We start from the raw sequence: 19,897 nt of genomic DNA, 5'->3' as shown, positions 1-19,897 counted from the left end.
TGTGGCCTCCGGAGAAGGTGCCTCCCCCAGGGACCAAGACCATCCTCATGCTTGTGCCTTTCCGCCTGCTGACCCAGCCGAAGGGGCAGCTCCTTGGCCAGCTACCCTGAAGCCCACATCCCAGGTCTGGGGCATCCCTGAGAGCCACATCCAAGGCCACATCCTTCCCTTTGCTCATCCATGCTCCAGAGTGTCAACCTCAGCCCTGTCCCCCATCCACCACTGTGGGTGGTTTTGGCAGGTGATTGTGCCAGCGTCCCACAGAACTGCAACTACCAGCTGCACCTTGGGTCCCCAGGCAGAAAGAAGGCAGGCCCTGGTTTCCAAGTCAGTGACTTGTTCCACTGGCCTAGAAGCCAAGGGTAGGGACCAAGATGTCCAGTGTCCTGTTGTCTGTACCCCCAAAGTCAGCAGCCCTGGAGGCAGGAACTCCAGGGACCTGGGCCTCTCACTCCTGCCTGGGGTCTGACCCCAGAAGTCCCCTTCCACAGGCCCCAGTTACCCTCCCACTGCAGGCTCTGACCTACAGGAAAACAGCTGGAGCTGGGCTCCTACCCTGTTCCTCTGGGAGAGCCAAACCCTGTCCTGAAGCTAGAGGAAAATCCACGGGCAGAATCCTGCAGACGCACACCCCAGATAGACCCCACCTGGGGCCCCACGCCCTAATCAGACCCCGCCTGGACCCCTCGCCCCACCTAGAGAGCCGCAGCTCGTGGATCCTGGCCTTCCTCTGCAGCCTGCCGCCCCCCTCCCCTGCGTGAAGGCACCAGAGTGTCCACCCCCGCGGCCCCACTCAGAGATGCGTGCCTGCTCCCATCGGAGGCCTTCGGCTCCGCGGCAGGGCCTGCCTGCTCCCGAGACCGTTCCCCTCGCCTCTCCTGTCGGGAATCGGGGTCTTGGGTATTACCTTCAAATCCGGCCATCTTCCCGCCACAGCGAAGGAGAATCAGACAGCCCGTGCCAGGGACGTGGGCCAGGTCCTCACTGCCCTTGCTTCTGGGACCCTGTGAGGGCAGGAACCGGAGCCTTGCCCTCATGACTTTGGTTGGGGGCAGTGCCAGGTGGGAGGTTTCCTGTCGGGCACTAGGTTGGGGCGGGAGGCGGGGCGGGGCCGGGAGGGACAGGCGGGGAGGGGGCGGGAGGCTGGATCGAGAGGGCAGGGGCGGGAGGAAGGAGGCGGGACCGGGGCGGGAGAGCCAGGTGGGGCGGGGCTGGGAGGGAGGCGGGGAGAGGACGGGATGGGAGGGGCAGGCGGGGCAGGCAGGGCGGGCGGCGGGGCCCAGGACGACCCTGGGGCTTCCCTGGCTTCAGGTCCCTTCTGAGCACAGCGGGGCCCGCCCCCCCCGCTCCGGTGGCAAGCACCGGCCCTGCAGCCCCAGCCAAGAAACCCAGTAACAACCCTTCCCTACCCTTGTGTTCCGGGCAGCGGGACGCCCAGGGTCCAGCGAACCCTGCAGGTGCAGGAGCAATGAGGCGAGCCTGGGAAAACCTCCTAGCCCGGAGGTGCCCGTTGACTCACCGCCTGTGGTTCCAGCAGGGACTCTGTGCGCCACAGACTGTACAACCCCAGGTCCTTGTTCTCCCAGCCCGGCAGGCTGCTGTCTGTTCAGAAGGAACTCCAGGCAACTTAAATATGTGGAATCAATCAGTGCACTTCAAACTTATGAAAAGGTCGAAGAAGAAATGAAAAGGGACATTAGAAAATACACTGAATGGCCGGGCGTGGTGGCTCAGGCCTATAATCCCAGCACTTTGGGAGGCCGAGGTGGGTGGATCACCTGAGGTCAGGAGTTCGAGATCAGCCTAACCAACACGATGAAACCCCCGTCTCTACTAAAAATAGAAAAGTTAGCCGGGCGTGGTAGCGCAGGCCTGTAATCCCAGCTACTTGGGAGGCTGAGGCAGGAGATTCGCTTGAACCTGGGAGGCGGAGGTTGCAGTGAGCCAAGACTGTGCCACTGCACTCCAGCCTGGGCAACGGAGTGAGACTGTCTCTAAAGAAAAAGAAAACGAGGAGGTCTGAGAAGTTCCCAGGTATGTGCAGTTATCTCTTCACGTCACCTCATGGGTCCCATGTGCAAACTGAGGGGGAGTTAGTATGAAACATGCATCGAAATTCAGGCCATGAAGTCAACAAGCTCATTCTGTGGAAATTCCGGCTGGCCATATTGGTTCCAATTGGTTTCAGGCAGTTTTTTCTTTTTTAAGAGACAGCCTCCCTCCATGTTGCCCAGGCTGGGGCACAGTGGCCTGGAACTCCTGGGCTCAAGCGACCCACCCACCTCAGCCTCCCTAACAGCTGGGACCACAGCATGCCCGACCACGCTAGACTTATTTTTACTTTTTGTAGGGACAGTGTCTCCCTGTTTTTTTCTCCCTCAATTTTTTTTCTTGATATCATAACATGGGGGAGTTTCAGGGTTTCAGCAAGTTGTTTATTTTCTTATGTGCCATCCTGCAAGCTCAAGAATTTCTGCTAGTCATTGGTCTTTGGTGTGAGGTTTTGAGACTATGTTTTCTGAAGAGGCCATATATGCAAAGTGACTCCCAAACACAGAAGGAACTGAGAAACCAAAGAATGAGGCAGACAAATCCAGTTTGTCACTTGGAGGTGATTTTTTGGGGAACTCACAGAAGCATGGTCTTGGGCAGCCACAAGACGGGTAGATCTCTGCACTGTTACCCCCTAGACTCAGGGCTTATATATTTTTGGGGAAAAAGTATATGTGTCCTGGAAGGAATGTGCAGGCAACTGAAATAGTGCTATGGGCATCACAGTTTATGATGTATGCTGTAGCATCGAGGGTTGTTTTGGAGGAATGGCGAGACTTACGGTAGATAGGTGTTTCTACATAGAGTACGACTTCAACTAGACATCTTGGAGGCACTCCCAGACTCATGCTTAGTTAGGCATCAGTGTGGCAGATTAGAATCTAAGAGGAGTGACTCTTGTCCCCATACTAAAGATGGAACATTTTTCAAAAAAGTACAAGAAGACAGAATCCAGCAACATATAGAAATAATTATCTTCCATGCCAAAGTTGGATTCCTCCCAATACAAGATTGGTTAACAGCCAAAAATCATTTAATATAATATGCCATATCAATACAATCATAAACAAAACCACATGACCATCTTAACAAATGCAGAAAATAAATTTGACAAAATCCAGCATCTTTATGATGAAAACATTCAACGAGATAAGAACAGGAGGGAATATGCTCAGACTGCTAAAGGGCACATGAAAACCCTGCAGTGGCTCACGCCTGTAATCCCAGTACTTTGGGAGGCCAAGATGGGTGGATCATTTGAGGTCAGGAGTTCGAGACCAGCCTGACCAACATGGTGAAACCCCATCTCTACTTAAAATACAAAATTAGCTGGACATGGTGGTACATGTCTGTAATCCCAGCTACTTGGGAGGCTGAGGCAGGAGAAACGCTTGAACCCGGGAGGCAGAGGTTGCAGTGAGCCAAGATTGTGCCATTGCACTCCAGCCCAGGCCACAAGAGTGAAACTCTGTCTCAAAAAAAAAAAAAAAAAAAAAAAGAAAAAGGAAAGAAAACCCTGCAGCTAACACCATGCTTCGTGGTGGAAGCCTGTATACTAATGTCCTAAGATCAGGAACAAGATATATACATCCACTCTAATGACATCTGTTTATCATTGTACTGGAGGTGCTAACCAGGACAATTTGGCAACAGAAATGAATAAAAGCCATCTAGATTGGAAAGGAAGAAGTACGATGATCTTTGTTCACAAATGATATGATCTTATATTTAGAAAAATGTAAGAAATTCACTAAAACATATTAGAATAAAGGAATTCAGCAAACTTAACAGATGCAAAAAATTGGTTATATTTTTGCACTTAAGAAATGAGCATTGAAAATGAAATTTAAAAAGCCTTCTATTTACAATAAACTCAAAAGCAAAATAATTAGAAATAACTTTAATGACAGACATGTAAACTGGAACACTGAAAACTGTATCTCAAGTGTGGTGCAAGGTCAGAGACAAGGAAGCCCATGGATATATGTGTCTTTCCACAATGTCAGGCTTTTATTGATTCTATTCAATCACAAAAGCCACAAGCTACATGGAGTTCCCGAGGAGGCAATTCTCCTTAGTAGTTCCCGTTCACTAGGTAGTCAGAGCCACAGGCACACAGGCTCAAGCCACTCCACAAGTCAGTAAATATTGCAAACACTACCTAATAGTATACTTAATATGTAAATGTTATAGATTAAACATTTGACAACAAAGTAACATTAACATCAAGAGAAGAGATAGGAGAAAATGTTAAAGAACCAGTTCGAGGAGAACTTAAATGAAGACAAAGAGAATCTTCTGGTCTGGGCCAGGCAGTCCATCAATCTTGCAAGAAAGAATCTTTGATGGGGCAGACAGAGGCTTTGGCAGCAGATGTCGAGTTCTTATTATGAGTGCCAGCAAGATGGTGTTAGTTAAGACAGCTGTTTTGAGCTGCTGATGGCCTGCTATTTTTATGACAACAGAGTCCACTGGTGAGAACTGATAGTGGATGAGTATGCTTGTTTATATCCTTATATGGTTGGATGCAGGCCTTTTTTTAAAATTTATTAAGCAAAATATCTTATCCTTGTTGTCAAAGTGTCCTAAGAAATGTAAAATGGAGTCTTTTTTCTAAGATGGGGTTACTTAAGTCAAGGGTGCTCTCTACACTACAATACATGGTTATCATCCTTGAGCCTTCTCTCCTTGGCTCTGAGGACTTTACCTTCTTGGGGAAAAAAGGGGATTGCATTCTTGGCCTTTATATTATTAGAGGTGGGCTCTGGGTAAGGTCTACACAACCAAATGAGTGTTCCTATTTCCATTTTTATGGATAGAAGCCTGAGGCCCACAAAGGGAGGAAATGATGATCCATATCCCAGAGGGCAGAATATCAGGCAACATTTCCCTCTACCCAGCCCCTCCCCACTGTCCTGTATTTAAGGTACCCCCAGATGTGATACCAATGGGTGTTTAAGAGAAAGCCCTGGGATCCGGGAGTCTGAGGAAGGGGGATTAGGGATTCCAAGTCTGAGGTGTAAAAAAAAAAAAAAAAAATGACCAAGGCAAGTCTCAATCACTTTAAGAGGTTTATTTTCCAAGGTTAAGGATGTGGAATAGAAAAGAATACAGAACCACGGGAAAAACTGTGGCCCATGGTTTCTCCAAGGAGGATCTGGGGACCTCAACATTTAAAATGAAAAGGGTGGGTATTGGGGATTGAGGAAGGAATTGTGAAAAGGGTGTGGGTAAATAAGAGGCAAGCGGTTGCATCCTTTTGAGTCTTTGATCAGCCATTCAATGAATACACAATTTACGTTGGGGGGGTGGGTAGAGAAATAGTCACACATTTATCTAGCTTGGTGAATCTGCATTTTTGCATAAGATAAAATAAACATAGGGCACAGGAAGCAATCAGATATGCATATATCTCAGGCAGAGGGATGACTTTGAGTTCTGTTCTTTGTTCCATACCTGTGAATATAAGCTATCAATTTACATTGTCAGGGTGAAATGAAACAGAACTGTTTTAGGGTAAAAATCTTGGAGCCCACAATTTGTGGGCAAATTGTGAGAGAGGTGCGATGCTTTTTTTTTTTTTTAAATCTTTGTAGCTATCTTATGTAGACACGAAATGGGAGGCAGGTTTGTGTGACCCAGTTCCCAGACTGACTTTTCCGTTTGGCTTATTTAGTTTAGGGTCTTGAGATTTATTTTCCTTTCACAGGGGCAAGAGGGCCCTGGGAAGATCAAGGCTGAGCGTCCAGGTTCCACAGAATGGAGTCACTGAGGGGCAATTGTAGAATAAGAGAGTGTGGAAAGTAGAAAAGTTCCTCTTCAGAGCTCGTCTTAGTTTAAAAATAAAATAATAGACACTAGAGATAATAGCTTCTTGCTCTAAAGCCCCCTATCAACTATTAGTTCTTACACTTTAGCCCACTTAGTTGCTTTGCCTTACTCAGGCATGTCTGGACAGGCCCCAGCAAGTCTTAGTTCATAGCTCATGCCCCTTCCTTATTTGGAAATGTTATTGCTTCTTTAAACCTTTCATAAGCAATTTCCTCTCCTTTTTTGTTCTCCCTTGCACTTACCTATTTAGGAAAGTTTCAGGTTGTTAGCAAATCAGGTATCAGTTTAAGATTGTGAGGTCCAGGTCCAGCCAATGGATGCAGGACACAGCAGAAGGATGACCCAAATGCATAAGGGATAAATATGTCTGCTTTTCATTTGTTCAAGTGTACTCTCATCATTGTTCCATCTGCGAGGATATCAGGGGAAATTCAGCCAGATATCGGGCAAAATTCAGCCAGATATTGGGTGAAATTCACCCCCAATATTTCACGTAGGTTCTTTTCTATATTCCCTAAGTGTCAACTGGTCTGAGAAATAAAGGGACAGAGTACAAAAGAGAGAAATTTTAAAGCTGGGAGTCAGGGGGAGACATCACATGTCAGCAGGTTCTGTGATGCCCCCTGAGCCGCAAAACTAGCAAGTTTTTATTAGTGATTTTCAAAAAGGGAGGGAGTGTATGAATAGGGTGTGGGTCACAGAGATCACATGCTTCACAAGGTAATAGACTATCACAAGGCAAATGGAGGCAGGGCGAGATCACAGGACCACAGGACTGGGGCAAAATTAAAATTGCTAATGAAGTTTCAGGCATGCATTGTCATTGATAACATCTTTAAGGAGACAGGGTTTGAGAGCAGACAACTGGTCTGACCAAAATTTATTAGGCGGGAATTTCCTTGTCCTAATAAGCCTGGGAGCGCTATGGGAGACTGGGGCTTGTTTCATCCCTACAGCTCGACCATAAAAGACGGCCGCCCACCGAAGCGGCCATTTCAGAGGCCTACCCTCAGGGATTCATTCTCTTTCTCAGGGATGTTCCTTGCTGAGAAAAAGAATTCAGCAATATTTCTCCTATTTGCTTTTGAAAGAAGAGAAATATGGCTCTGTTCTGCCTGGCTCACCGGCGGTCAGAGTTTAAGGTTATCTCTCTTGTTCCCTGAACATTGCTGTTATCCTGTTCCTTTTTCAACGTGCCCAGATTTCATATTTTTCAAACACACATGGTTCTACAATTTGTGCAGTTAATGCAATCATCACAGGGTCCTGAGGCGACATACATCCTCCTCAGCTTATGAGATGACAGGATTAATAGATTAAAGACACACATAGGAAATCACAAGGGTATTGATTGGGGAAGTGATAAGTGTCCATGAAATCTTCACAATTTATGTTCAGAGACTGCAGTAAAGACAGACATAAGAAATTATACAAGTATTAATTTGGGGGACTAATAAATGTCCATGAAATCTTCACAATCCATGTTCTTCTGCCATGGCTTCAGCTGGTCCCTCCGTTCAGGGTTCCTGACTTCCCACAACACGAGGAGCACCCTTTCTGCAGAAAGTAAAAATGGCCTTGCTGAGAGAATTAAGTTTATGTTCGAGTGTGATTTCTTTGTGGCACTGGGGAACAAGCATTTCTAACAGGATAATGGAATCTGAACAAGGCAGAGCATGCATTAGGAAAACAGAAAACCAGAAGGAGGTCTTGGACAAGAGTGAAATCTCTCACACCCCTACCCACCACCCCCCAAACTCTACCCCCACTTTGCTCCACCCTCCATTTCACCACTCAAGGCCGGACCAAGTCGATGACTCAAACTCCACATTTTGCTGTTTGAAGAGGAAGGGCAGTAATGGCAGGGGCTCCAAGAAAACCCTGTGAAGGACCTCTTTCCTAGTTCAGATCCACCACACACACACTCTTGTCAATGAAAAGAGTCAAACCCTGTAAAATATTTGAAGAGATTTATTCTGAGCCAAATATGAGTGTCCATTGCCTGTGACACAGCCCTCAGGAGACCCTGAGAACATGTGCCCAAAATGGTTGGAGCACAGCTTGGTTTTATATATTTGGGGAGATATGAGACATCAATCAAATGCATTTAAGATATACATTAGTTTGGTCCAGAATGGCGGGACAATTTGAAGTGGGGCTTCCAGGTTCTAGGTAGATTCAGAAGTTTTCTAATTGGCAATTGGTTGAAAGAGTTATTATTAATAGAAAGGAATGTCTGGGTTATGATAAGAGGTTGTGGAGACCAAAGTTTGATCATGCAGATGAAGCCTCCAGGTAGCAGTCTTTGGAGAGAATAGATCGTAAATGTTTTCTGTCAGACTTAAGGTCTGTGTTAATGTTAATGCTGGAGGTTATAATGAGGCATGTCTGACCCTCACTTCCCATCACTGCCAGAACCAGTCTTTCTGGTTAACTTTGGAATGCCCTGGCAGAGAAGTCCATTCAGATGGTTGGGGGAGGCCTGGGGGCTTAGAGTTGTTAGATATGAGTTCTAAATTTCTTTTCAAAGAATATGTCAGTATGTTCTATTCTTTGCCTTCTACTTTTAAACTTAACTTTCTCGTAAAGCAACCTTTTTCGATTACCTACTCCACCCTGACTCATTCTGATCACCTGCTCCACCCTACATTCCAATCACCTGCTCCACCCTAACTCATTCCAATTACCTGCTATCTGCTCTGCCCTGACTCCTGCCAAAGCACTCACCTTGTCATTCTCTTTAAATTAGCCAACTGGAATTAGTTTTGCCTGTGCGGTCTAACCCTAGCCAATAAGGGAATGACACAGCAGCAGAGGCCACGTGCGTCAGGGATAAGAACCCCTTCCTCTCCCTTGTCCAAGTGTGCGCTCACCATTGTTCCATCTGTAAGGGCGCACCCTTCTATATAGAAGTAACTTGCCTTGCTGAGAATTAAAAAGAAAATTTTATATTTGAGTGCTATTTCTTTTGTGTCACCAAAACTTTATATATAACAATTTGGGGGCTTGTCTAGGATTACATCCCCCTCCGAGGATGGTCTCTGGTTCTCTCTCATGAGGAGGTGCACCCTGCCCTATTGTGGCGGCCTCAGGGGTGAGAAATCAAGACCCACCCAGTGCAAGGAATAACTCGAGCTCTCAGCAATGCAGAAAAAAAAAAAAAACTGGCCAGCAACCTAGCTTAAAGGATCCTCACATACTGTGGCGACAACTCTGTGCACTGACCAAGGAAGGCGAAGCTGCGGGAGCCGGTAAAGCACTTCCTTGGTGGTCAAATTCTGGAGGGCTAAATGTGTGTGTGCGTGAATGATCACAAACAACCCTGCTTGCGGTGTTGTTCATGTGGATGGTGACAAGTCCTGCTGGATGGGGTGAGTGGGTCCTCTCTGTGGTTCCATAGCTACTTCATATGGCTTAGGGCGGATCCTGCCATAGGATTTATACTGGTATGCCAACACTAAAAAGGGCCTGATTCTACCTTGGGGGAGCAGCCAGAGAGGAGGGCATGAGTGGGAAGTGTGCAAAGGACCTTCAGAGGAGGAAAGGGGAGAAACAGGTCAACCTTCCAGGACAGGCAAAACACTCCCTGGTTTGAGGGGTTGAACCTTCCAGGACAGGCAAGATACCCCCTGGTTTGAGAGGTTGAGCCTTCCAGGGCAAGCAAGGCAAGATGCCCCCTGGTTTGAGTGATTGAGTCTTCCAGGACAGGCAAGACACCCCATGGTTTGAGGGGTTGAGCCTTCCAGGACAGGAAAGGTTAGACGCCCCCTGATTTGAGGGGTTGAGCCTTCCCGGACAGGCAAGGCAAGACACCCCCTGGTTTGAGGGGTTGAGCCTTCTGGGACAGGCAAGGCAAGACATCCCTCGTGTTGAGGGGTTGAGAATTCTGCTAATTTCAAGGGTTGAACCTGAAACAACCCCCCGCTTCCTTTCTTCTCAGGGGAAGAAAGAGTAGCTCAACTCCTGTAGGTCCCTACCCTAGGGGAAGAGAGAAAGAGAGAGAGATAGAGAGGAGAGAGAGGGAGATAGGATAGAGAGAGACAGAGAGGAGAGAGAGAGAGACAGTGAGGAGAGAGAGAGAGACAGAGGAGAAAAAGAGAGACAGAGGAGAAAAAGAGGGACAAAGGAGAAGAAGATATAGCAGGACGAGCTGCAGACAAAACTCCTCAGACACCGAGTTAAAGAAGGAAGGGGTTTATTTGGCCGGGAACATCGGCAAGGCTCCTGTCTCAAGAGCCAAGCTCCCTGAGTGAGCAATTCCTGTCGCTTTTAAGGGCTCACAACTCTAAGGGGGTCTGCATAAGTGGGTCGTGATCGATTGAGCAAGGAGTGGGTACGTGACAGGGGCTGCATGCACCAGTGGTCAGAGTGAAACAGAACAGACTGGGAAGTTTCACAGTGTCTTTTCTATACAATGTCTGGAATATATAGATAACATAACCAGTTAAGTCAGGGGTCAACTTTTAACTACGAGGCTTAGGTCAGGCAGGCCCAGGCCTCATTTCAGGTCTGGTTCCTTGGTTTCAGGTCTGGTTCCTAGGCGCTGGGCTACCTGCCATTTGTTTTTCTTTTCTTTTCTGAGTATAAAATAATATAAAACAATATGAGAGGGTCTGTCTCTCTTCTCTCATTTCCCCCCTTTGAGACTCTCACTTTTTATTAGTGGGAGTTCTCACTCTTATTTTCACTACTTATGTCTTCCTGTGCAATAGGTTGATAATGATTCATATAGTACACTTGTGCTGATACATAACATGAAGTGACATTAACAGACTGGGCTATATGCTCGGCTAATTGCAAGAACAAATTTCTTGTTTTTCCTGGAATTTCTGGTACTGGCATATTCAGTTCATCATAGAAGGTTTGAAATACTGGCTCAGGAGAGTGTTTATAAACTTTTTCTCAAACCACGATATTTACTTGAAGATCCAGTCCAGCTCCATCAATTTCAGGGTTATACATTCTCTTTTATCTAGCAAGGATTAAGGGGGTTGGTTATAACTAGTTCTAAGGGATTACACTGACCACTGGTATAGGAAGGGCCAGTTTTCCCTTGCTGAAGGTGGACAGGATTTTTTCATTTTTTTTTTATTCAAGTAGCCTAAATGACACAAGACCAGTATCTACATTTATTTTCACACAGTCTTAATTCATGATAAACGTACTTATTTTTTGCCATATAGTCTATTTTCTAATTAAGAGAACCACATCCTATTTTTAATTTATTATTATTAATGACAGCACAGGCATCAAATTTTAAGGTGACTTGTTTGGGCATCTCTTTTTTTTGTTTTATTTTGGCTAACACTTTACTCATATTGTTTATGAGCCCCCACCAGTCTTCAGTTCTTAATCTTATTTTAAAAACTGTGGTCATGGGAGGCTCAGATGGGTCATAACACACATCAGGTTGGTCATTTCCTGGGCTAAATACATTATTTGTATATTGTATTATAAATAATTGTATAGAATAACATTATAAAAACAAGTTCTTTTTAGAGTTCCAGTACACTTATAATAACTGTAAAATAATAGGACTGTAGCAACCTTTTGTCCTACCTCAGTGACTTGATGTATACTCTGGGAACAGCCCTCAGTCTGAGGAAGGTCAGTTGAAGTCTTTACTGTACAAGTCTAAATTTTAAGGAAAATGAGTCCTGTGATGAGTTTCCTCATGCTTCAGCCATGCGTGGACTAGTCAGCTTCCAGATGTGACTGGAGCAGGGTTTGTGGTCTTCTTCAGAGTCACTTTGCAGGGGTTGGCAAAGCTGCTCCCATCCACGTACAGCTCCCAGTCTACTGATGTTCAACGATGGTCTTGGAGGTTGGGCCTACTAGAATAAACTGAGTCTAATACCTCTACATAGTTATGTTTAACTGGGCTCTCTGATACTGGGAGCAAGGTGGCAGGGTTTAGGGTGTTGTAAACTTCAATGGTTATGTGGGGATTTTTCACAGAGCAAGCTTTGGTATCTAGTTAGTCTAGCATTTGTTAACTAATGATGTCCTTTGGTATTTAGAATGCTTCCAGCTTTTGCCCATTCAGTATGATATTGACTGTGGGTTTGTCATAAATAGTTATTATTATTTTGAGATATGTTCCATCAATACCTAGTTTACTGAGAGTTTTTAACATGAAGGGATGTTGAATTTTATTGAAGGCCTTTTCTGCATCTTTTGAGATAATCATGTGGTTATTGTCATTGGTTATGTTTATGTGATGGATTACATTTATTGATTTGCGTATGTTGAACCAGCCTTGCATCCCAGAGATGGACCCAACTTGATCATGGTGGATAAGCTTTTTGATGTGCTGCTGTATTCGGTTTGCCAGTATTTTATTGAGGATTTTTTGCGTCATTGTTCATCAGGGATATTGGCCTGAAATTTTCTTTTTTTGTTGTGTCTCTGCCAGGTTTTAGTATCAGGATGATGCTAGCCTCATAAAATGAGTTAGGGAGGAGTCCCTCTTTTTCAATTGTTTGAAAGTTTCTGAAGGAAAGTTACTGATTTTTTGTACCTGTGGTAGAATTCAGCTGTGAATCCATCTGGTCCTGGGCTTTTTTTGCTTGGTAGGTGATTTATGACTGTCTCAATTTCAGAACTTGTTATTGGTCTATTCAGGGATTCAACTTCTTCCTGGTTTAGTCTTGAGAGGGTGTATGTGTCCAGGAATTTACCAATTCCTTCTAGATTTTCTAGTTTATTTGTATAGAAGTGTTTATAGTATTCTCTGATGGTAGTTTGCATTTTCTTGGGGTCAGTGGTGATATTCCCTTTATCTTTTTTTATTATGTCTATTTGATTCTTCTCTCTTTTCTTCTATATTAGTTTAGCTAATGGTCTATCTATTTTGTTAATCTTTTCAAAAAACCACCTCCTGGATTCATTGATTTTTCTGAAGGGTTTTTCTTGTCTCTCCCTCTTTCAATTGTACTCTGATCTTAGTTATTTCTTGTCTTCTGCTACTTTTGGGTTTGTTTGCTCTTGCTTCTCTAGTTCTTTTAATTGGGATATTAGGGTGTTGATTTGAGATCTTTCTAGCTTTCTGATGTGGGCATTTAATGCTATAAATTTCCCTCTTAACACTGCTTTAGCTGTGTCCCAGAGATTCTGGTATGTTGTCTCTTTGTTCTCACTGGTTTCAAATAACTTCTTGATTTCTGCCTTAATTTCATAATTTGCCCAGGAATCATTCAGGAGCAGGCTGTTCAATTTCCATGTAGTTGTGTGGTTTTGAGTGAGTTTCTTAATCCTGAGTTCTAATTTGATTACACTGTGGTCTGACAGACTGTTGTAATTTCAGTTCTTTTGCATTTGCTGAGGAGTGTTTTACTTCCAATTATGTGGCCAATTTTAGAGTAAGTGCCATGTGACACTGCGAATAATATATATTCTGTTGTTTTGGGGTGGGGAGTTCTGTAGATATCTATTAGGTCCACTTGATCCAGAGTTGAGTTCAAGTCCTGAATATCCTTATATCCTTTTAATTTTTTTTTCCTTTTTTTTTTTTTTTTTGAGACAGAGTCTCACTCTGTTGCCCAGGCTGGAGTGCAGTGGCACAAACTCGGCCCACTGCAGCCTCCATCTCCTGAGTTAAAGTGATTCTCCTGCCTCTGCCCCCTGAGTAGCTGGGATTACAGGCGCCTGCCACCACATCCGGCTAATTGTTGTATTTTTAGTAGAGACAGCATTTCACCATGTTGGTCAAGCTGGTCTCGAACTCCTGACCTCATGATCCACCTGCCTCAGCCTTCCAAAGTGCTGGGATTACAGGCATGAGCCACTGCACCAGGCCATATCCTTTTAGTTTTGTGTCATTGATCTGTCTAATAGTGACAGTGGGATGTTAAATCTCCCAGTATTATTGTGTGGGAGTCTAAATCTCTTTGTAGGTTTGTAGGAACTCATTTTATGAATCTGGGTGCTCCCATATTAGTTACATGTATATTTAGGATAGTTAGCTTTTCTTCTTGTTGAATTTATCCCTTTACCATTATATAATGTCCTTCTTTGTCTTTTTTGATCTTTGTTAGTTTAAAGTCTGTTTTGTCAGAGACTGGGATTGCAACCCCTGCTTTTTTCTGCTTTCCATTTGCTTTGTAAATTTTCCTCCATCCCTTTATTTTGAACCTATGTGTGTCTTTGCACACGAGCTGGGTCTCTTGAATACAGCACACTGATGGGTCTTGACTCTATCCAATTTGCCAGTTTTTGTCTTTTAATTTGGGCATTTAGTCTATTTACATTTAGGGTTAATGTTGTTATGTGTGAATTTGATCCTGTCATCATGATGCTAGCTGGTTATTTTTCACACTAGTTGATGCCATTTCTTCATAGTGTCATTGGTCTTTACATTTTTGTGTGTTTTGCCATGGCTGGTACCGGTTTTTCTTTTTCATATTAAGTGTTTCCTTTAGGAGCTCTTGCAAGGCATGCCTGGTGGTGAGGAAGTCCCTCAGCATTTGCTTTTCTGAAAAGGATTCAATTTCTCCTTTGCTTATGAAGCTTAGTTTGGCTGGACATGAAATTCTTGGTTGAAAAAAGTCTTTTTGTTAAGAATGTTGAATATTGGCCTCCACTGTCTTCTGGTTTGTAAGGGTTTCTGCTGAGGAATCTCCTGTTAGTCTGATGGGCTTCCCTTTGTAAGTAACCTGAACTTTCTCTCTGGCTGCCCGTAACATTTTTTCCTTCATTTCGACCTTGGAGAATCTAATGATTATCTGTCTTGAGGTTGATCTTCTTGTGGACTATCTTAGTGGGGTTCTCTGTAATTCCTGAATTTGAATGTTGGCCTGTTTTCTCAGTTGGGGAAGTTCTCCTGGATAATATCAAGTTTTCCAACTTGATTCCATTATCCTTGTCTTTTTCAGGTACTCCAATCAGTTTTAGGTTCATTTTTTTAATAGTTCCACATTTCTTGGAGGTTTTGTTCATTCCTTTTTATTCTTTTTTCTCTAATCTTGTCTGCCTGCCTTATTTCAGCAAGATAGTCTTCCATCTCTGATATTTTTTCTTCTACTTGATTGATTGGGCTATTGATACTTGTATATGCTCCACGAAGTTCTCTTGCTGTGTTTTTCAGCTCCATCCGGTCATTTATGTACATCTCTAAACTGGTTATTCTAGGTAGCAGCTCCTCTAACCTTTTTTTAAGGTTTGTAACTTCTTTGCATTGAGTTAGAACATGCTCCTTTACCTCAGTGAAGTTTGTTATTACCCTCCTTCTGAAGCCTACTTCTGTGAATTCGTCCATCTCATCCTCTGTCCAGTTCTGTGCCCTTGCTGGAGAGATGTTGCAATCATTTAGAGAAGAGGCAGTCTGTCCTCTTCTCTAACGCTGAGTTAGATTTTTTTTTGTTGACTCTTTCTCATCTTCATGAGTTTATCTAGTTTCAATCTTTGAGGCTGCTGACCCTTGGATGAGGTTTTCGTGGGTACTTGTTTTGTTGATGCTGTCGTTGCTTTTTGTTTTTTTGTTTTTCTTTCAATAGTCAGATTCCTCTTCTGTAGGGCTACTGCAGTTTGCTGGGGGTTCACTTCAGTCACTATTCATCTGGTTTGCTCCCACACCTGGAGATGTCACTCGAGCCTGGAGAACAGCCAAGGCCTGCTCCTTTCTCTGGAATCTCTGACCTTGAGGGACACCAACCTGATGCCAGTAGGAACGCTCCTGTATAGGATATCTGACAGCTCCTGCTGGGGGGTCTGACCCAGTTGGGTGGCACAGGAAGCAGGACCCATTTAACATAGCACTTTGGCTGTCCCTTGGTGAAGGAGGTTTGCTGCATTTGGGGGAAACCCACTCGTCTGGGCTGCCCGGATTCCTCAGAGCTAGAAGGAGGAAAGAATAAGTCTGCTGGTCCGCGGAGACTATGGGCACCCCTCCGCCTAGGGGCTCAGGTCCAGGGAGATCAGAGTTCTGTACCTAAGCCCCTGAGTGGAGTTGGAGTTCCCGCAGGGAGGTCCTGCAGCTTCAGTGTTGGCAGCTGCCCCTCCACCAAGGATCTCAGATGGCTTAGATGGCAGACAGCCACAGCAGTGGTGATGGCTGCCCCTCTCCCTGGGAACTCAGCAGGCTTAGGCCGATTCTAGCCAAGTGGCTGTTGAGAATCTGCGCAGCTCCCTGATTGAGACCCAAGGCCCCAGTGGCGTGGGCTCCCGAGTGGGATCTTCCGATCCGTGGGTTGCACAGTTTTGTGGAAAAAGCATGAGTGAGGGTAGCACTCTCACTCACCACCTCCCTTGGCTGGGAGTGGGGGCTCCTCTGCCCCTTGTCACTCTCAGGTGGGCTGCCGCACCACACTGCTCTTCTTTTCTCTGATTGGGTCATGCCAACCACCTAGTCAGTCCTAATGACAGAATCTGGATATCTCGGTTGCTGGTGCAGGATTTTCGTGCCATTTTGGATCTTTTCAATGGGAGCCTCCAATTGCCACTGCTTCTAGTTGGCCATCTTGGCACCCCCCCCCCCCCTTTTAAGTATTTTATATTATAAAATCTGACTGGGCATGGTGGTTCACGCCTGTAATTCCAGCACTTTGGGAGGCCAAGGCGGGTGGATCACTTGAGGCCAGGAGTTTGAGACCAGCCTGGCCAACATGGTAAAACCTGTCTCTACCAAAAAATACAAAAATTAGCTGGGTATGGTGATGCATGCCTGTAGTCCCAGCTACTTGAGAGGCTGAGGCAGGAGAAACGCTTGAACCTGGGAGGTGGAGGTTGCAGTGAGCCAAGATAACACCACTGTACTCCAGCTTGGGGTGACAGAGTGAGACCCTGTCTTAAAAAAAAAATAAAGTCTATTGTCTCTACTTAATATTTTCTATCTGTGTCACATGTACATTTCCTGTACTCTAGACTTTGCTTCAGATTGTCCATCTCATTCTCTCTCTCTCTCTTTTTAACTACACCAAGTCAAGTCTTTCTTCCACAGAAGCAACTCATACTGAATAGAAATATGCAAATTATGGCTACCATGCCAGATTTAGACCACTTTCTCTTTCTATATGACCTATGAGTGCCTTTCTTGGATTATTGGTTGTAACTTTTTTGATTTTTTTTGTTTTGATTTTTAAATTTTTTTGTGGAGACAGGATCTCACTGTGTTGCTCAGGCTTGTCTCCAACTCCTGGCCTCAAGTGATCCTCCCTCCTTGGCCTCCCAAAGTGCTGGGATTACAGGCATGAGCCACTGCACCTGGCCTGATGGTTGTTTTATGGTTCATCATATTCATGTTTGACTTACAGGCTACCTTCAAGTAGTATTATGCCATCTCATGTATAATATACAAACTTTATAAGATGCTTCCCTTTAGCTCTTCCCAGCTTCCATGCTTATCATACTTTTTACTCCTACATGTTATAAACTCCACAATACATTATTTTCTTGCTTCAAAGGGTCAGTGACTTTTCAATGAGTTCAGAAATAAGATTAATATATATGTTTACTCACATATCTACCATTTCCATTGTTTTGTTTATTTGTATTTACCCAGATTTCTGTTATCTTTTTTTGTGTGTGACAATTTTATCATTGTATACCCTTGGCGTGCTTATCTCTATGTTGTTTTTTTCTGTAAGAGGTTTAGATGTCCCCAAGCCTATGATTCTTCTGATAACAGCTGCAAATTTGGGTGTCCCCAAGAAAACCCACAGGTTCAGTAATCCTAGAAGGAATTAAGAACTTAGAAAAGGCTTTATATTCACAGTTATGATTTATTACTATGAAAAGCTCAAATAAAATTAACCAAGGAACAGGGTGCATAGCACAGGATCTGTGAACCACCTGGCACAAGTTTCTAGTTGTTTGCTCTTTGTGGAGCCTTGTGGTCATTGTCTATTTCTGCCAACAATACATATCAGTACCCACAGGACATTGACAACACAAGGATCTCATTCGAGTCTGTGTTCAAAGTTTTTATTACAGTTTGGCTCTTTCCTTTGTAAACTGCCCAGTCTCAGAAATGTTGGCCTCGTCCCTCTGATGCCGAGCCAAAGCTGGACTGTACTGCTGCCATCTCGGCTCACTGCAACCTCCCTGCCTGATTCTCCTGCCTCAGCCTGCCGAGTGCCTGCGATTGCAGGTGCGCGCCGCCACACCTGACTGGTTTTCGTATTTTTTGGTGGAGACGGGGTTTCGCTGTGTTGGCCGGGCTGGTCTCCAGCTCCTAACTGCGAGTGATCCGCCAGCCTCGGCCTCCCGAGGTGCCGGGATGGCAGACGGAGTCGCGTTCACTCAGTGCTCAATGGTGCCCAGGCTGGAGTGCAGTGGCGTGATCTCTGCTCGCTACAACCTCCACCTCCCAGCTGCCTGCCTTGGCCCCCCAAAGTGCCGAGATTGCAGCCTCTGCCCGGCCGCCACCCCGTCTGGGAAGTGAGGAGCGTCTCTGCCTGGCCGCCCATCGTCTGGGATGTGAGGAGCCTCTCTGCCTGGCTGCCCAGTCTGGAAAGTGAGGAGCGTCTCTGCCCGGCCGCCATCCCATCTAGGAAGTGAGGAGCGTCTCTGCCAGGCCGCCCATCGTCTGAGACGTGGGGAGCGCCTCTGCCCTGCCGCCCCATCTGGGATGTGAGGAGCGTCTCTGCCCGGCCGCCCCGTCTGAGAAGTGAGGAGACCCTCTGCCTGGCAACTGCCCCGTCTGAGAAGTGAGGAGCCCCTCCGCCCGGCAGCCACACCGTCTGAGAAGTGAGGAGCCCCTCCGCCCGGCAGCCACCCCGTCTGGGAAGTGAGGAGCGTCTCCGCCCGGCAGCCACCCTGTCCGGGAGGGAGGTGGGGGTCACCCCCCGCCTGGCCAGCCACCCTGTCCGGGAAGGAGGTGGGGGGGACAGCCCCCCGCCCGGCCAGCCGCCCTGTCCGGGAGGGAGGTGGGGGGGTCAGCCCCCCGCCCGGCCAGCCGCCCCGTCCGGCAGGTGAGGGGCGCCTCTGCCCGGCCGCCCCTACTGGGAAGTGAGGAGCCCCTCTGCCCGGCCAGCCGCCCCGTCCGGGAGGGAGGTGGGGGGGTCAGCCCCCCGCCTGGCCAGCCGCCCCCTCCGGGAGGGAGGTGGGGGGTCAGCCCCCCCACCCGGCCAGCCGCCCCATCTGGGAGGTGAGGGGCGCCTCTGCCCCGCCGCCCCTACTGGGAAGTGAGGAGCCCCTCTGCCTGGCCAGCTGCCCCTTCCGGGAGGGAGGTGGGAGGGTCAGCCCCCCGCCCGGCCAGCCGCCCCATCCGGGAGGTGAGGGGCGCCTCTGCCCGGCCGCCCCTACTGGGAAGTGAGGAGCCTCTCTGCCCGGCCACCACCCCGTCTGGGAGGTGTACTCAACAGCTCATTCAGAACGGGCCATGATGACAATGGCGGTTTTGTGGAATAGAAAGGGGGGAAAGGTGGGGAAAAGACTGAGAAATCGGATGGTTGCCGTGTCTGTGTAGAAGGAGGTAGACATGGGAGACTTTTCATTTTGTTCTGTACTAAGAAAAATTCTTCTGCCTTGGGATCCTGTTGATCTGTGACCTTACCCCCAACCCTGTGCTCTCTGAAACATGTGCTGTGTCCACTCAGGGTTGAATGGATTAAGGGTGGTGCAAGATGTCCTTTGTTAAACAGATGCTTGAAGGCAGCATGCTCGTTAAGAGTCATCACCACTCCCTAATCTCAAGTACCCAGGGACACAAACACTGCGGAAGGCCGCAGGGTCCTCTGCCTAGGAAAACCAGAGACCTTTGTTCACTTGTTTATCTGCTGACCTTCCCTCCACTATTGTCCTGTGACCCTGCCAAATTCCCCTCTGCGAGAAACACCCAAGAATGATCAATAAAAAAAAAAAAAAAAAAAAAGAAATGTTGGCCTCAAAAAAAAAACAAAAAAAAAACAAAGTTTTTATTACAGTTTGGTTATGTAGACTTGCTGACTACATGTCTAGATTTTGGTTATGTTGACTACCAATGTGGCTGCCTTTTTATGAAGGTACCCTCTTAGGAGGGCACCCATGTGACCTCTTGTGAGGTCATAAGAGTTGAGACCTTTAATCCAGTAGGATT

General features: G+C 46.3%; 1 protein-coding gene across 6 annotated transcripts in view, besides 4 other annotated features; it reads right to left on the bottom strand.

Moving 5' to 3' along the window:
- The window catches only part of SNAP47 (synaptosome associated protein 47), a 53,059-nt gene extending 51,533 nt beyond the window's left edge, over positions 1-1,526 (bottom strand). For 5 of the 6 annotated variants that reach the window (NR_136654.2, XM_047444119.1, NM_001323932.2 and 2 more), the window contains exon 1: positions 908-1,063. The gene's annotated coding sequence lies outside the window, so the exon portion shown is untranslated. Of the gene's footprint in view, positions 1-907; positions 1,064-1,409 lie in introns of those variants that run through there. The other variant, NM_001323933.2, reaches the window with a different exon arrangement.
- Positions 1,174-1,513: a silencer, noted in NCBI's record as "silent region_1898". NCBI's record gives its function as "represses an Ori minimal core promoter by ATAC-STARR-seq in GM12878 lymphoblastoid cells {active_cell/tissue: GM12878}" and the evidence as "EXISTENCE:reporter gene assay evidence [ECO:0000049][PMID:35858748]".
- Positions 1,174-1,792: a biological region, named in NCBI's record as "H3K4me1 hESC enhancer GRCh37_chr1:227915603-227916208".
- Positions 1,187-1,792: an enhancer, noted in NCBI's record as "H3K4me1 hESC enhancer chr1:227915603-227916208 (GRCh37/hg19 assembly coordinates)". NCBI's record gives its function as "activates a minimal SCP1, AML or CMV promoter by ChIP-STARR-seq in naive H9 embryonic stem cells {active_cell/tissue: H9 hESC(naive)}" and the evidence as "EXISTENCE:reporter gene assay evidence [ECO:0000049][PMID:30033119]".
- Positions 17,924-18,860: an enhancer, noted in NCBI's record as "H3K27ac hESC enhancer chr1:227898535-227899471 (GRCh37/hg19 assembly coordinates)". NCBI's record gives its function as "activates a minimal SCP1, AML or CMV promoter by ChIP-STARR-seq in naive H9 embryonic stem cells {active_cell/tissue: H9 hESC(naive)}" and the evidence as "EXISTENCE:reporter gene assay evidence [ECO:0000049][PMID:30033119]".

Source organism: Homo sapiens, chromosome 1, assembly GCF_000001405.40.
Source record: "Homo sapiens chromosome 1, GRCh38.p14 Primary Assembly".
Classification (NCBI taxonomy): Eukaryota; Metazoa; Chordata; class Mammalia; order Primates; family Hominidae; genus Homo; species Homo sapiens.
Note: the sequence above shows the minus strand (reverse complement) of the source record. Positions and strands in the feature narration are given on the sequence as shown.